Source organism: Homo sapiens, chromosome 14 (assembly GCF_000001405.40).
Source record: "Homo sapiens chromosome 14, GRCh38.p14 Primary Assembly".
Lineage (NCBI taxonomy): Eukaryota > Metazoa > Chordata > Mammalia > Primates > Hominidae > Homo > Homo sapiens.
Genome location: NC_000014.9, coordinates 77255483 through 77272357, shown reverse-complemented (window position 1 = coordinate 77272357; position 16875 = coordinate 77255483). Strand labels below are relative to the sequence as shown.

The following is a 16875-nucleotide window of genomic DNA, read 5'->3' as shown; positions in this document are numbered from 1 at the left end:
GCTCGGAGACCCCTGAGGGAATAATGAGAGAGAAATAAAGGTGAAAACGGGCTTGCTCTCCCAAACCTGGGCCACCAGCACTGGGCTGGGGCTTGAGGAACTTTCTGCTTGAAAGAGAAAAGTTTAGTTGTAATTGGCAGGTGGCCAATTGCACACCCTGAGTGGGGAGCATGGATTCTATTATCTGAACTTCTATTGAAAAAATTAAACAGTACTTCCGTTAAAAAAAAAAAAAAAAGGCCGGGCGCAGTGGTTCACGCCTGTAATCCCCAGCACTTTGGGAGGCCGAGGTGGGCGGATCATGAGGTCAGGAGATCGAGACCATCCTGTCTAACACGGTGAAACCCCGTCTCTACTCAAAATACAAAAAATCAGCCTGGCGTGGTGGCGGGCGCCTGTAGTCCCAGCTACTCGGGAGGCTGAGGCAGGAGAATGGCGTGAACCCGGGAGGCGGAGCTTGCAGTGAGCCGAGATCACGCTATTGCACTCCAGCCTGGGCGACAGAGTGAGACTCCGTCTCAAACAAACAAACAAAAAGATGAAAAATCATGGAAGTGGGGAAGGCCCAGGGAGGGAAGAGGTGAAAAATTAAAATTAAAATTAAAATTAAATCATGGAACGGTAGAATGTTAGAGCTGAACTCCCTCAAGATTCCACCCTGGCCAAGCAGAGCTGGGATTAGAACTGGATCTCACGGCTTTCTAAAGATGGAGTCTCAAAAAAACCCAGGCCTGGCTGGGAATGGCTGTGGTCTTGGCCCTGTCCCTACGGCTGAAAGCCCTGGTGGCCCCCAACGTGTGCTGGTGCCCTAGTCAGACCGAGAACTAGGCCCCTAGGCCGCCTCCCCAGGCCTGACCTGCAGGCCAGGTGGGTGGCAAACTCAAATGCCTCTGGCAATGCGTGAGTTGAGGGGCCTGTGGAGAGGGGGCGCATGCAGCGCCTACCTGAGGCGACCAAATTCAACACAGTGCCCTCGGGGCTCGGGAGGAGAAACTGAGGCCCAGAGAGCCTCCGCGATGTCAGTTACGTTCTGCAGGCCGGGCCTTTCCCAGGCCACCATAGCGGCTGGCGGAGGGAGCGCGCGCCTTGCTGGCCTGGAGGGGGCGGGGGCCGTGGCGGCTTTAAAGCGCCCAGCCCAGGCGTCGCGGGGTGGGGCGGCTCTGGCGGCTGCGGGGCGCAGGGCGCAGCGGCCAAGCGGGGTCCCCGGAAGCACAGCTGGGGTGTCTCCACCTACGACTGGCCGCGCGCCTTTTCTCTCCCGCGCCAGGGAAGGAGCGGCTGCGGCCCCCGCCGGGCGGAGGCACGGGGGGCGTACGAGGGGCGGAGGGGACCGCGTCGCGGAGGAGATGGCGCGGCACGTGCGGTGACGGCACCCGAGCCCTGAGGGTCCCAGCCCCGCGCTCCGCGTCCCCGGGACAGCATGGAGCGCCCGGAGCCCGAGCTGATCCGGCAGAGCTGGCGGGCAGTGAGCCGCAGCCCGCTGGAGCACGGCACCGTCCTGTTTGCCAGGTGAGGGCTACACGAGCGCCCGGGGATGCGGGTGGAGGCTGCCTCGGCGGGAAAGGGGTCACGCGGCAGGACCGGCCCCGAAGGAGGGAAAACTGGCCGCTGCCGGGGCGCTGGGGCGCCTGCCAGATGTGCGCCAGAGGAGCGGGGCGCGGCGACGGGTGGCACAGCCCCTCTGCCTCTCTCTCGACCGTGGGCGCCTGTTGCCAACCAGCGCCGCACACCACTCTCCCAGCGGGGCTCACCGGGCCGGGCGGGATCCCCTCCCGCGGATCTCCCCACATCTGGGCGGGTGGACCTCCGTCCCTGCGCGGCGCCTCCACCCCGCCTTGTGCCTCCTGCGTCTTCCTTAGGTAGCGACTGCAGGGGTGCACCCCGCTGCCGGTATCAGGGTACTGGGGTGCCCCGAGAGCCGGGGAAGGGAGATGTGTGGGGCGAGCTCCTGCGCCCGCGTGTGAGCGGTCTGGCTCCAGGTGTGTGGATCCCTGACAACCAACAAGACAAACCTTTCCGAGGAAAGAGCCAGAGAGCAGCCGGGGAAGGGGTGACAGATGCGGGAGCCTCACCGCAGGGGAGAGGGGTGGGGGGTGTGCAGGCCGGGTGGGAAGGGAAGGCCAGTCTCCAACCTCAGCTCGCAGTTTTGGTAACCCTTCCGCTATCACCAACCGGGCACTGCTTCCCTCACCGTGGTGTTACCTATCCTTGGCACCCTTGGACAGTCCAGAACTTCTACCCAGGCTTCCGCAAAACCACCCCCAAGACAAAAGGGGAAAACATTCAGTTACCCGGTGAGACCTCCCAAATGCCGAGGAGGGCCTCTGCTTCTGCCTCCGGACTCCCCCCAGCTCACTTTTTTCTCAGGCACCCGCTGTGGCTGCACTACATCCAAGCTGTGTGACCTTAGGCGAGTTCTAGCCTCCCCGGGCTTCTGTTTTCTCCTCTATAAAACTGGGATAACAGTTGTACCCACTGCTTAGGACAGTGAGGAATACAGTTAAAAGTTAACCACACGGAAAGTACTCAGCGCAGGGGGGGGGGGGGGGGGGGGGGGGGGGGGAGAGGGAGAGGGAGAGAGAGAGAGAGAGAGAGAGAGAGAGAGAGAGAGAGAGAGAGAGAGAGAGAGAAGAGAGAGAGAGAGAGAGAGAGAGAGAGAGAGAGAGAGAGAGAGAGAGAGAGAGAGAGAAAGGGCTTTCCTCTCCACACAACGTAACTCCAGGTTTCCTGTTTGGGGACCTCTTCCTGTCCCAAATCACACCCCTCAGCTATTCACCGAGGGACCCCTGCTTACCAGAGGCCCTGGGACACATTTGCCCTTTCTAGGATGCTGCCCAGAGCCAGTAGAAGGCATGAGGAGGAGGGCACTACCGAAGCTGGCGGGGGAGCAGTGCCAGGTGGGAGAGTCAGCTGTGGTTTGCAGCTGAGACCTGGCTTGGCACCCCCGCCCGCTGACTGCAGGACAGCCAGGCTTGCTGGGGCTTGCAGGAGCTCACACCCCAGGGCTAACACCTGGGCCTCACTCCCACAGGCTGTTTGCCCTGGAGCCTGACCTGCTGCCCCTCTTCCAGTACAACTGCCGCCAGTTCTCCAGCCCAGAGGACTGTCTCTCCTCGCCTGAGTTCCTGGACCACATCAGGAAGGTGAGAGGGAGGCAGAGCTGCTGTGACCTCTGGGATCCAGCAGAGCACCTCCCTGGTGGAGAATGGAGAAAATGACTTTCTGCCCCAGGTCTAGTCTTACTCCCTTCCAGTTCCCCCAAGCAGGGTACAGCTCCTTTCCCTCTGGGCTGGATTGGTCTGGGACATCAGAATCAGCCTCTTCCCCTACCCTGCGTTCAGAGAGCTGGTCCCAGCCTGTGTCATTGCCTTTGTCCTCTGGCTCCCATAGGTTGTGTTAGCACAGATCCTGGTAATTGGGAACTATCTGCCTATGAAAATCAGGCTGAGATTTTCTTAGAATCTCATGATTCTCAAAGGGCCTCAGTTTCTCCTTGTCCCAGCAGACAACACTCTCCAGTAGGTGTGTTTAGAGATGTGAATTTCTCAGAGGAGAGAGGCTTCCTTCATGGGTATAACATTAGTAGTTTGGCCACCACGTATCGGGTGCCCCCTACATGTAGTAGACACAGGCTGCCTTTGACCCCTGATCTTGGAGAACTGAGGGTCCTACTGGCCTCTCTTGCTTTGGGACCCTCATGCCTTGGGCTGTGATTGTGAGCAGATGGGGCTGCTCTGGCCTCTCTGTTTCACTGCTGCCTTGGCCTTGGCAGGTGATGCTCGTGATTGATGCTGCAGTGACCAATGTGGAAGACCTGTCCTCACTGGAGGAGTACCTTGCCAGCCTGGGCAGGAAGCACCGGGCAGTGGGTGTGAAGCTCAGCTCCTTCTCGGTGGGTAAAGGAGCTCTGACTCTCTCCAGAGCTCCTGGCCTGGGGCCACTTCTCTCTCCCAGACCTCCCCTTGCCACCTGTTCTCTCTCCCATTCCCATATCCTTAGATAACCAGGGCTGCGGGCCTGCATCTGTTACCTGCTGTGTGGCCCTGACATGGGCTTGACCTCTCTGAGCTTCCAAGTTCTCTTTTCTGATATGGCTTCTTTTAAAACCATAAAAATTAACAAGCTTTTGGGATCAGCTGGTCTGCTCAATTTTCTATTGCTATGTATCAAACAACCCTAGAACTATGACAATGCTTTCCGATTTCTCATGGCTGGGCTCAGCTGGGCAGCTCTTCTGCTCCACATGGTGTAGCTGGAGTTACTTGTGTGTTATGTTTAGCTGGGAGCTCAACTGAGGCTAGAATGTCCAAGGCCTGTCAGCCTTTGAGCTCTGTCCCTGTGATTTGTTGTCATTCACTAGTCTAGCTGAGCTTCTTTATAGAATAGCAGCTGAGTTCCAAGGGGGAGTTTTTAGAGGACAAGCCCCAGTGTGAAAGTGCCTATAAAGCCTCTGCTTGCATCACTTTTGCTAATGTCCCATTGGCCAAAGCCACTCACATGGATAAGCCCAGTGTCAATGTGGGAGGACCCTACTCAAGGGCATGAATCCTTGAGGTGTAGCCCACTGGGGGCGACTGATATGACAGTACACCACACAGTCCAGTCACCTTGCCAGATGGTGAGCACCTTGAGGAAGGAGCTGTGTTGGTCTTGTCCTCCTCTCCATCCCCAGCACCAGCATAGTGCCTGATCTACCAGGGCTACAGTGGATATTCAGTTAATATTTGTGAGATAAATAAACCTTATTTTATTATGAGTAATAATGGCAAATGAGAGCCATTATCTTTATTTATTTATTTACTTACTTATTTATTCTGGGGACAGAATCTTGCTCTGTCGCCTAGGCTGGAGTACAGTGATGTGATCACAGCTCACTGCAGCCTCAACCTCCCAGGCTCAAGTGATCCTCCCACCTCAGCCTCCCTCATAGCTGGGACTACAGGCATGCACCACCATGCCCAGCTAATTTTTGTATTTTTGGTAGAGATGGAGTTTTCCCATGTTTACCAGGCTGGTCTCAAACTCCTGGGCTCAAGTGGTCTGCCCACCTCAGCCTCCTAAAGTGCTGGGATTATAGGCGTGAGCTACTGCACCTGGCCTATTATCATTGTAGGTTTCCTGTATACAGATGCTGTGCTAAGAGCTTTTTCTGGATTATCCCATTTAATCATCCCAACAGGCCCAGGAGTTGGAGCTTCTACTTTCCCTGTATCACTGATGAAGCAGCTGAGGCTCAGAGAGGTTACATAACTTACCCAAGGTCACCCAGCTGATGAAGGGTGGAGTCAGAATCTGTACTCAGGTCTATCTGGCTCCAGAGCCCAGGCTCTTAACCCCATCATTGCTGCCTTGCAGATGAGGAAACTCAAGTCTGGGAGCAATGACTTGGTTTGGTCTAAGCTGGGAGGTCCCAGGCAATGTCTTGGCCCCACTCATGGGGTGGTTGCAAGACCAAGACAGGGGTGAAAAATGTGAGGATATAAAGCCTCACATTTAGAGGGAAAGGTAGACACAATGTGATACCCAAGGATTTGGGTAGGACCCTGCTCAGGAAGCATGGACTCAATGCAGGAGAGGAAAAAAGGCCCAGGAGCCCTAATCAGTCCTAGGCCTCAGTTTTCTCACCTGTGGAATGGAGCAGTGCCTTTCTGCCTTTGGAAGTGACAAGGTGCCCCTTGCCTCTGCAGACAGTGGGTGAGTCTCTGCTCTACATGCTGGAGAAGTGTCTGGGCCCTGCCTTCACACCAGCCACACGGGCTGCCTGGAGCCAACTCTACGGGGCCGTAGTGCAGGCCATGAGTCGAGGCTGGGATGGCGAGTAAGAGGCGACCCCGCCCGGCAGCCCCCATCCATCTGTGTCTGTCTGTTGGCCTGTATCTGTTGTAGCCCAGGCTCCCCAAGCTTCCCTGCATCTTGGTCCTTGTCCCCTTGGCCACACTGGAGAGGTGATGGGGCAGGGCTGGGTCTCAGTATCCTAGAGTCCAGCTGCAGAAGGAGTGGCTTTTCCTCCAGGAAGGGGCTTCTGGGTGTCCCCTCATCCCCAGTAGCCTCTTTCTTGCGTTTCTTTTTACCTTTTTTGGCACTCCCTCTGACCCCGCGATGAGTGTTTTGGTGGCAGAGGTGGGATGAGCTGGAAAGGTATGGAGGTGGGAGAGGATGGGGCTCTTCTGTCTGTCCTGCTTCTTCAGGTGAGTGCAGGCCAAGGCGGGGGTGAGATGGCTGAGCTTCCAGCGCCTTCTGTCCTGCCTGCCCAGTCCCTTCACTGCTTTCCTGCCCCAAGATGGCTTGCTTTTCACAAATAAAGAGAAAGAGCAGCTTTAGCCTTCTTGGTGGAATCCCAGGCAGTGGGAGCAGAATCAGAACTGCCAGGGAAGGGAAGGGGGACCTGGGTCTCAATGGGTCTCATTTGAGTCTCGCGGGCTGTGCAGATGCCCTGACAGAGTCGGTTTCCTTTGGCGGCATTCCCTTTCCCTCATTCAGCACTTCTGCTGGGAACTCCCTGACTATTCCGCTGCTGCAGGAACCCAGCTAGCTGGCCAGGTGGGGAGGGGCTGGGGACCGGCCAGGAAGGAGGGGTGACTTCATCCCAGAGAGACCCGAGTTCCCCCAGCCCTTCATCACCAACCCGCTCCTGCAGGAGTGAGTCTTACCTCCCCTGGCCCTCCTTTCTGGCTCAGCCTGCAGCGACTGTGAGGCCACAGCTCCTCAGATTCACTGCCCGCTGTGTGCCAGTACTCAGGCAGCTGGAGAGAAGAGAAGGCAGCAGCAGAGGCCCCCGCCCTCACCCCAGCCATCTGCACTTGTACCATTTGCTCTGTGCTGACTGTGGTCCTATAAATTCATGAGAAATAAACTGGTTCTGTGTGCCTCTCTGACCCTCGGGCCTGATCTTTTCTTGGGTCTTGGCCTGTGCCAGATGAAGCTGCAGGGCAGTGGATCTCAGGACAGGATGGGAGGATGGAGTCAGGGAGGCCAAGGCTGGAGTGGGTGGAACAGGAGGGAGGGGCCTGGGAGGAAGCTCTGGGAAGCCAGTGGCAGACATCTGTGGGGTCTGTGGCCCAAACTGGCTGGCAGACCACAAACCAGCTCTTCTTCCTCCTGGGCACACAGCTGGATGTCATGCAGCCACCCTTGCAATTAGGTGGGGCATGTGACTGGGCTCTGGCCGCTGGACCGTGCAGATGTGTGTGCCACTCCGAGGCCTGGTCCCCCAAAACTCCTGCATGCTCCTCCATGCTCTGTCATCCTTCTGCTGGTGTGATACAGACCTCACAGAGACCATGAGGGCCACGTGTTGAACATGGCAGAGCCACAGGTGAAAGGAGTCCTGACCCTGAATCGCTGCTTGGAGGAAGGTGCCTATTAATCAGAATCACCCATTTTGAATTTTATATGAAAGAGACAAACTTCTCTTGTGTTTATGCCATTACACATTTTGGGGTTAGTTAAACCCATACCCGCACTGATCCATGGTCTGAAGCAGGTCATTGGTCGGGGGCTTGGGACCCCACAGGCTGTGGGCTAGAAAGCCAGCCAGGGACGTGGGGAAGAGAAGCTGTGTTGAGTAGGCATGATTGGAGCAGGTTTGGGGTTACCTCCATGTGTTCCAGCCTCGGCGGCGGGCCCGAAGCCCACGCATGGCTGCAAGGCCTGTGCCTGGGCTGGCTGTCCTCGCCCTGGGCTTCCAGTTTCTCAGCCAAGACTGAATGTAGCAGATGCCCACGGGGCCTTGCCAGCTCCCAGATGGGGCCTCATTTTCTTTAAGCTCAGATGCCAGGCCTGCCAGGCTATGTGACTGCAGGCACTGGGTCTGCAGCATGTTAGGAACGCCTTGGCCGCTGTGGTGCCCAGAGCATTTTCTGGAGCCCTACAGGCTGCAGTGAGTGAGGGCCTCATCTGCTGTGTGACCTATTAATGGGTCAGGCTCAGGTGTCCATGTCTGGCCCACAGCTCTCTAGGTGGCCTGGCTTTGGAAAGGTCTAATGCCCTCCTCTGACCTGTGTCTGAGTCATCCTAAGCATGGATGCTTTCACCTTTTTTGAAAGCCACTCTTCTACTTAGGTGTGAGTGCGTGTGTGCATGGGCATGCACTGGTGTGTGTGCACGCGTGTGTATGCATGTGTGTGTGCACGTGTGCGTGTATGCACGCACGTCTGTATCAGGGGAGAGTATCCCTTACCTCCTCCTCTGCTCAAGGGCTCAGCCCTCTCTCCTGCATCCCTCCTCTATCAGCCCACATCTCCCCTCCTATACAAAGAACAACCCCTCACTTCCTTTCCTCTCCAGCTACCCCTTTGGTTCTTTTCTTCCTTTGATAGCAAAACCCTTCGAAAGAGCAGTCTTTCCTTGCTGTTTTCATCTCCTCACTTCTTATGGGAGGATGGGAACCTGCTTCAACCAGGCTTTGCCCCCACTTTCAATCTACTACAGTCAAGGTCACCAACCACCCTCATCTTGCCAGATGTAGAGTCACATCTTAGTCCTTATCTTCCTCTCCTGCTCAGCAGCACTCGAAAAAGTTGGTCATGCCTTTATTTTTACACTTTTTATTATGGAAAAATGTTAACATACACAAGAATCAAGAGATGAGGGAATCTCCATGCACCTCTTCCCCCAACCACACCCCCCTCCCATTTTTGTTTTTGTTTCTTTGTTTTTGCTGGAGAGTTTTAAAGCAAATCCAAGACTTCATGTTCTTTTACCTGTAAATTCTTCCATATGAATTTCTAGCTGGCACTTTATTTCACATATGAAGCCACGCCATCAATACATCTAACAAGATGAACGGTATCTTCTCATCATCACCTAATTCAAATTCCCTGATGGCCCACATTCATCCACGTGTAGATTTCCCAGACGTCTCTCTGCAGTTGGTTTGTTCAACTCAGGATGCACACTTCGCATTTGATTGTGTCTCTTCACTCTTTCACTTTGGCCTGGCCCCTCTTGCCATTTCCCCTCACCATTGCTGTGTGGGAGAAGTGGGTCATTTGTCTAATGGCCTGTTCAGCATTCTCCACTTGGCTGAAGCTGCTTCGTGGCATCTTTTGACTTATTCCTCTATGCACCGCATTTACTGCCAAGCGTGGTTAGAGCTGGGGACACCCTCCTTCCTTTTTGAGTCCCTCCTGGTTTTCCTTGCCGGTTCTCCTCCCATCTCTTTGTGCTGGCTCAGCCCTCAGACCTCCTCACCTGCACCTGCTCCCATCAAAGTCTCAGCCAGTCCCATGCTTTAATCACCACCCAGGTGCTGATGACATCTCCAGCCCGACTCCTGTATCTAGCCACCTTCTTGACATCCCCACATAGCATCTTAACCAGAACACACTCAAGATGGAACTCTTGGGGTTTCCCTTGGCCTTTTTCTTCCCAGCTTTCTCCACCTCAAACCAGAGTGTGCTGAGTTGTTCATGCTGAAGATCTGGGAGTCATCCTTGCGTTCCTGCTTTCCCTCAGACCCCACATCTAATCATCCATGAATCCTCAACCTCTGTTCCAAGTTTAACTGCTTCTTTATTCACTCCCTATCCTGGTGCAAGCTACCATATTCTCTCTCCTGAATGCCTCTGACACAGTCCCAACTGGGCTTTTTTTTTTTTTTTTTTTAGACAGGATCTCACTCTGTTGCCCAGGCTGAAGTGTGGTGGCATGATCATTGCTCACTGCAGCCTTGAAATCCTGGGTTCAAGGAATCCTCCTGCCTCAGTCTCCCGAGTAGTTGGGACTCCAGGTGCATGCCACCATGCCCAGCTAATTTTTAAAATTTTTGTGGAGATAGGGTCTTGCTTTGTTGCCCAGGCTGGTCTCAAGCCCCTGGCCCCAAGTAATCCTCTCACCTCAGCCTCCCAAAATGCTGGGATTACAGGTGTGCACCACCACACCTGGCCCCAGCTGGGCTTTCTGCTTCTACTTGTCCTACCCTGGTGACAGTGACCATTTCAGCACATAAGAGTTACATGGGTGGTGGCCAGGGGCTAAGGGGAGGAGGGAATGAGGAATTATTGATTATGGGTATACAGTCTCAGTTTTGCAAGATAAAGAGTTGTGGAGGATGGCTGGTGGTAATGGTTGCACATTACGAATGTATTTCATGCCACTGAACAGGACAGTTACAAATGGTTAAGATGGTGGCCGGGCGCGGTGGCTCACGCCTATAATCCTAGCACTTTGGGAGGCCAAGGTGGGCGGATTGCTTGAGGTCAGGAGTTCGAGACCAGCCTGGCCAATATGGTGAAACCCCATCTCTACTAAAAAATACAAAAATGATGATGGCATATGCCTGTAATCCCAGCTACTTGGGAGGCTGAAGAAGGAGAATTGCTTGAACCTGGGAGGCGGAGGTTGCACTGCACCCAGATCACGCCATTGCACTCCAGCCTGGGTGACAGAGCAAGACTCTGTCTCAACAACAACAACAAAACAAACAAACAAAAAACCCATAAATGGTTAAGATGGTGAATATGATTATGTGTACTTTACCACCACCACCACAACAAAAAAACCTGGAAAACAAACACATAAGGGGATCATACTCCTACCCAGAATCCTCCCATAGTTTCTCAGATGATGAGTGAAACTTGGAGTCCCAGCGTGGCCTGCACAGCCTGTTGCCCACTCAGACCTCGCCCCACCCTCTCCTCCCCTCGCTCACTCTGCCTGGTTCTTTGGGCTCCGCATGTGTGCCCACAGACCCTTTGCTGGCTCTCATGTCTCACCTCCACAGAGCTTGTGCTGGCCTCTCTAGTGCAAAGCATCCTCTCCCCACCTACAGGCACCCCTTGCCCCTATCCGGCTTTGTCTCTCCCTGACACCCCATTATGTAGGCCTATTTGTTTACTGCACTTGTCACGTTCTGTTGCACGGAAATGGGCAGGCGGTCATGGAAGCCACTGGGCTCTGTGTTTGGAGGGGAGGGAAGAGGGACAGTCTTTGAACCCTTGCTGAAGATGACAAGGTAGCCAGAAGTGCCCCTGACACCTGGTGTGTGGCCCTCGGGCCCACATGGTACTCATACTTATTGCAAAAGAAGATAAAGATGGCAGAAGCGTGCCTGAGCTAGGGAGTTGTCATTTCTAAGCTGGCGATGGTGAGATGCTGAGGCCACCCAGGGCATGCAGTGCCTGAGGTTGGGACTGTTTTCCTTATCCACTCACCCCTCCCTGCACACTGGAATCACCTGGGGGACTTTTGTAAAATACAGGGTACTGGGCCCCACCTGAGAAATTTTGGTTTTTCAGGGATGGGGCCTGGACATTGAGAGTGACTCTCCTTTGCAGCTGGGCTGGAGAACCTTGGGAATTGAGGCTGAGAGCTGCCGGGCTGCCACTTGTCCAGGCCGAGGGACTGTCAGATGTTCTGAAAGCAGCCTCTGTTCAGAAAGCCTGGGAACCTGTCTCCCCATAGACCAGGCTCTCCTCGCCTCTGCAAGGCCTTCCACAGAGCAGACCTAGAAACCTGGAATCTGGCCAGCAAGGAGGTTCCTCAGGACAGAAGTGAGCTGCCTCAGGCTTCCCTGGCGGGGCCCCGTGCAGCCCCAGGCTTGGTTTCTGGGCAGAGGCATGGGGCACTCTCAGGCCCCGCTGCTTCCTCCCTGCGCAGCACTCGGTCACGTGCTCCAATCCTTTCTTGGGCACAGCCCAGTGGAGCCAGCCTCCTGGGGCTCCCTCTTGCCCTGCCCCAGTCCCGTCCCCAGCCCAGGTAAATCCACCTTCAGGCCTCCGGTCCATCCTGGCCTGCTGAGTGGAGAGAGGATTGACCAACACTAACCTCCCTGGAGGACATTCCATCCTTGGGGAGACCGCCCTCCCTCTTCGGCTTGTTTTTCTGTCTCTTTCTCAGTCTCTGCCTGATAAAAGGCCCTCGAAAGGTCTGCTGAACCACAGAGTGTCCCAGGCCTGCCATCTGGGGACCCTGGAGCTGCCGGCCCCTGGGAGGGGACCATGAGAGGCAGCAGCAGGGCGCAGCCCCGTCCCGTCCAGTCAGGGAGTCTTCATGGCTTCTCTCCTGCGAAGCAGCCCTTGTGGATTTTAAGGGCTGACTTGACTTGGAAAATAATTGTTTTGAGGGGGAGAGGGGACAAGTGGACGGGTCTTGATCCCACGCCCAGGCCCACACCTTGGTAGACTTTGAGTCAGTGGCCACTGATGGACCGTAGAAGTTTGCGGAGAGGACCCAGCGAGGATGATGCAGGAAAGAGTCCTTAGGCAGCCACCCTGAGACTGTCATCCTCTGTCCCCATAGGGAGCACTGCGGGAGGAAGTCTCCCCCTACTCAACACACCCACAAGATTCCCATCTTCTGCCCTCAAATCTGCTCTGCTCAGTCACGAAGCAGAACAGTCCGCTTCATGTCCTCCCAGCCCTACTGTCTGGATGAGGTGACCAGCCTGGGTCATGCAGCTGCTGGAGGAAGGGACAGAACCAGTCTCCTGACCCTGAGATGTGTCCGCCAGGGCAGGGAACTGTTGTCTCCTTGCCACAGTTATAACAGCCTTTGCTAACGGGTGTTTCTTATCCCACCTGGCTGCCCCACACACTTCCCTCGTGCCAACCTCTCCTCCACCCAACCTCTCCTCCACCTCCCCCATCCCCCAAGTCCCCCACCCTCATCCTCTTGCAGACCTGAGCCCTGTCTGCCGCTCTTCCTGGGGCCTCACCTGAAATCTGTGTGTTTTGAAGTCTGGCCACTAGCCTAGCCCAGTGGCCTGCTCATGGGGCTCAGCACTCACCAGAGACTTCTGCTGCTCCTCGGGGCTGCCCTGCTGGCTTCCTGGGTAGCTCAAGGACCAGAAAGTTCTCTCCACTGCACAGCGGAGCAAGGCCAGGCTGGCCCAGATGCACAGGCAGAGAGGCAGGGGCCAGGAGAGGTTGGGAGGACTTGTTTATTCAAGGCACGGTCATAGCATTAACAAGAAGGTTCAGCATTCTGGCACATTCCTTTTGTGGTGGTGGCCAAGGTTAGCCCACACCCCCTCCCCCCCGACCGGGGGCCCCAGAGGACGCAACGCTGCTGATAGGCACTTTGCTTCCAGGGGCAGTGGAGGGTCAGGCAGGTGGGCATGGGGCCACTGGAGGCCTGAGGAGGGCCCCTCCTGGAGGCTCTAGGCAATACCGGTTCCTGGGCGGCAGCTCCTTCCAGAAAGGATTAAGTCAGGAGGTGATTTGGTGGATGGAGTGGGGTGGGGCGGCTGGGAAGTGGCTGGCAGAGGAGTGGGATGGCAGTAGGTGGGGGGAGGGGGGCAATGGGTGAGGCAGGTGTGGGCTGAGGCAGGAGGTGCCTGAGAGGGCCTGGATGTGGTGGCGGGGGGAGGCTAAAAGATGCCCCCTGCTCCACCATCCTGTAGTGACCATGGGAGGTCCAGATGGAGCCAACTGCCATGAGGCTTTGCTGGTTCCCCTAAGAGTGGACTATGGAACCTTCTCCACATGCTCACCACCTTCTCTCAGAGCCAGGCTACACTGGACCCAGGTTCAGAGGGAGAAGCCCCCAGTCATCCCGCCACATTGTCTGCCAGGACTTTTCCCATATGTGGCTTCCACAGTCCGGCAGGGGCTGCAGGGGCTGGGGGCAGGGGCCAGGGAGCTGTGTCCAGCAAAGAAGAGACCCCAGGCCAGCTTCTGGTGTGACCCCCCACACCCCATACACCAAATACACATGATGGGGTCGGGCAGGGCCTGGAGCTGGCCACCTCCCCATCATGTGCCAAGCTCCTGCTGGGCCTGACCGCTATGCTGTAACAGCGTACTTTCCCCTTGTTGGTTGGTGAAATTCCAGTGGGGAGGGGGCCTGTGGGACCTGGGTGTGTAGGGGCCAGGCTAGGACCATTTCCCCTTTATTCCTAGCTGGACAAGGAATGGGAAAGACAGCCTCTCTCCAGCCAACCCAAGCTCTCTGGAAAGACACCCTCATGCCAAAATGTGGGCCATGCCCTGGGGGTATAGCAGTTTCTGCCCATTGAGCACAATTTCTCACCTGCGGTGAAGCTTGGAGCTTCTGGGGCTAGGATGGGGCAAAGGTGGGGCAGGGACAAGGTCTAGGTGATCTGAGTTCAGGGCAGCCATGTGCCTGGGGCCTGGTGCAGGTGCTCAGGTGAGGTGAGCCGGGGGCCGGCCTTCAGTAGGTTGGTGGCAGGGACCCAGACCTTTGGGGGAGGGGGCTGAAGAGGGCCCTGGAGCACACAGACCCCATTCAGCTTGGCTTGTTCTGGTTCATTGAGGCCCCCACTGGCCCTTCTCATGTCCTCCCTGGCTGGGCTGCACGGTGGTCCTGATGAGAGCCCATCCCAGAGGCAGAAGCCGGTTCCCCCCGGCTGTGGCAAAGGTGCTGAGTGTCACCATCACTGTTCGGAATTCAGCTCCCCCAGGTCTCTGGTAGTGGCAGCCCTGGGAGGACAGCCTTGCTTCTCCAGAAAGGGCTTCTCCCTGGAGCACGTGGCCTTCCCCTCCACCACACCCCTGGCAGGCCTGGGGCGACATCACGGTTGAAGCATCTGCAATGTCTGGACCAGGCCCACACTGGAGGCCGCTTGGGTGGTCTTCAAGGCAGGGTGCAGGGGCAGCCCCGAGAAGGGAGGAAGGGTCCTACTTGGGACGCAGGTGATGGTCAGTCCTTAAGTTTGAAGCATGGGGTTCTTACCCTAACGTACTGCCCATCTTGGCCAAGCTGGGGGCCCAGGCACTCAGTTGGGTAGGAGGCAGGAGACGCTTTTAAGTGGCCACATCTTTGGCTTCGGGGGTCTTCTCTTTAGGCCCTGGGGCTTGGGGAGGTATAGCTGGTTTCCCACCACACAGAGTTTTGGGGAGAAGACCCCCCTTCCATGAATTCGGCTTCTGTCGTCTCACCCCACTTTGTGTTACCCAGCAAGGACTAACCAAGGTTTCCTTCTGAAAAATGCACACGAGTCTCATTTGATGAGCCCTGAGTGATCACGCTCTAGCTACCCTTGTAAGAATAGAAAGAAGGGCCTCTGCCCTGCTGCTCCTGGGGACATCTGATGAGGGCAGAGGAGCAGGAAGGGGCTGAGTTACCTCTTCTCAGGTCTACGCTTTCAGTTGGCTCTTGCTCTGGTGGGTGCAGAAACTTTCTCTTTACAGATCCCCATGCAGGGAACCCTGTGATGAGGTGGTCCTCCGTGTCCTGTCAATGTGCCCCGTGCACATACCTTTGCCTCCTCAGACTGCAGGGGAGGAATGGGCCGGGGCTGGGAGGAGGAGCAGCAGCAGAAGCTCCTTGGAAGGGCAGCTGATGCAGAGTGGTGATGACCCCACAGAGCCTTCGGCAGCCTCCTTCTGTCTCCTCCCTTAGGAACACCTTCTCCATCTTGGTCCCAGGAAGGGACCCCAGCGTTCAGTCTCTGTGCCGGGGCTCCAGCCACCTCTCTCAAGACATGTGCTTGCCTGTATCCTCCCATCCCTTCCCAGGCTCCTTCAGCACTGCCGAGCACCCCCAGTTCCAGCCGGGCAGCAGGTCAGGACCCCCGTATGGCCCATGGCTGGGGTGGTGGATGTCTCCACTGTGGGCTTCTCAAAGTCTGCAGGAGGTAGTGGGGAGGTCCAGGCCACCCTCCTGCCTCCCCTTGCCAGGCCCTCCCCTGACCCCTCAACAAGTCGCCAGTGGAGGCCTCAGGTCCCGGTCAGTGGTACTGGTTCTGGCCCTCCAGTTCCAGCCCTTCCTGGAACTGGGCCGAGTCTAGCTCCCTCGCAAAGCCCCTCAGACCACTCTCTTCTTCTCCCTCTTCCGGCTGGTTGTTCATGGTGCCATAGGTGTGCCTGGCTGGGGAGGAGGCGGGGGTCAGATTCAACTCCGGTTCTTGCAGCACGGTGGCCACATACAGCTGCTTGGGATAGAGACAGGGGACAGGAGCAAGGTCACGTTGGGGGCAAGGCCCTGGGCACACCCTCTCCCCTCATGCCCCACCCCCATCGCCTCTGTCTCCTCCAGACCTTGGAGCCTGCCTTCTTCCCCAGCAGCCTGGGTCCTGTCTGTCCCACCCACCTAATTGTTCTTGATCATTTGATGAGCATCTAGGTGCTCCCAGGGCTGGTTCAGTGGCAGGACTCCCCACTCCTAGTCCACTGCTCCTTTAGAACATGTCCCATTCACTCTCAGTTCCAAGTCAAGCTGCATCCAGGGGAGGTGACATGAGGCTCCCCTCAGCTGAGGTCTGGAGAGACCCTCTTTCCTGAGCTAGTGCACCTTCTAATACAGCTTCAGCAGCACATTCAGAACTCCCTCGGGATCTGTCACTGGTTTGGCCTGTCCTCAAGATGTGGAACTGCTAGCGGAGACTTTGGTCACATGACCTGTCACACCCAGGAATGGTCCCCATGCCTGGGACGGCAGCAGATAGAAAAACACAGGATGTACTAGGAAGAAGAGCAATTGTCATCCTCTGAAGTGGCTCTTAAACCATCTCCTTACTTAGAAAATAGGTTATTAGGGAATGGAATGAAACCTTTCCCATAGGAGTTTATTTCAGTGAAACCAAACAGCCCTGGTTGAAGGAACGGTTTTCCTACAAAAGAATCTAGACATTTGCGTGGTGCCAAAGTAAGCCATCTAGATGACCTTTTGGTCATAAAGGGGTAAATGTCAACTGAACCATGGAAAAATCCACCTGTCATTCCCCTAATTAGAAGGTCATGACGGCATCATTAATGAATGGGAATTAACAGGATGTTACATCTCTCTGAGTGTAAATTGCAGCACTACCTGTAATGTGTTCTAGCCCCATGTTGAACTTGCATCTATCAAGCCATCAGATCTAACTTCCAGCATTCAGGAGATCATGGAACCTGTCATAAGACATCATGAACAGCCAGAAAAATCCAGGTGGAACATTCTGCAGGACTGCTGGCTTGGTCTCTCCAAGTCATT

The 16875-nt window shown here is 55.9% G+C and overlaps 2 protein-coding genes, 1 long non-coding RNA gene and 1 other non-coding gene across 4 annotated transcripts in view; 1 reads left to right on the top strand and 3 right to left on the bottom strand.

The window, feature by feature from the left end:
- Window positions 1-1151: 1151 nt before the first annotated feature.
- Window positions 1152-6875, top strand: NGB (neuroglobin). The gene is made up of 4 exons (NM_021257.4): window positions 1152-1509; window positions 3032-3143; window positions 3773-3892; window positions 5688-6875. The coding sequence occupies exons 1-4, from the start codon at window positions 1421-1423 to the stop codon at window positions 5820-5822; spliced, it is 456 nt and encodes a 151-aa protein (NP_067080.1). The 5' UTR covers window positions 1152-1420; the 3' UTR covers window positions 5823-6875.
- On the bottom strand, window positions 6068-6140 carry MIR1260A (microRNA 1260a). Its single transcript, NR_031661.1, has one exon. It is a non-coding gene; the product is annotated as a microRNA 1260a (primary transcript).
- A 1655-nt stretch (window positions 6876-8530) lies between the features above and the next one.
- On the bottom strand, window positions 8531-12539 carry LOC124903351 (uncharacterized). Its single transcript, XR_007064276.1, has 2 exons — window positions 11216-12539; window positions 8531-8968 (listed from the first exon to the last, which is right to left on the bottom strand). It is a non-coding gene; the product is annotated as an uncharacterized LOC124903351 (long non-coding RNA).
- Window positions 12540-12862: 323 nt separating this feature from the next.
- TMEM63C (transmembrane protein 63C) overlaps window positions 12863-16875 on the bottom strand; it is a 77698-nt gene continuing 73685 nt past the window's right edge. The window contains exon 24 of the mRNA NM_020431.4: window positions 12863-15832. Coding sequence (NP_065164.2) covers window positions 15632-15832 — 201 coding nt within the window. The 3' untranslated portion in view covers window positions 12863-15631. The remainder of the gene's footprint in view (window positions 15833-16875) is intronic.

Excerpts from the sequence above, each read along its gene's own strand:
- NGB (NM_021257.4), top strand. The coding sequence starts at position 1,421 with ATGGAGCGCCCGGAGCCCGAGCTGATCCGGCAGAGCTGGCGGGCAGTG. Across the intron at positions 1,510-3,031 it reads GGCACCGTCCTGTTTGCCAG|GCTGTTTGCCCTGGAGCCTG; the intron begins GTGAGGGCTACA and ends TCACTCCCACAG. Across the intron at positions 3,144-3,772 it reads TCCTGGACCACATCAGGAAG|GTGATGCTCGTGATTGATGC; the intron begins GTGAGAGGGAGG and ends TGGCCTTGGCAG.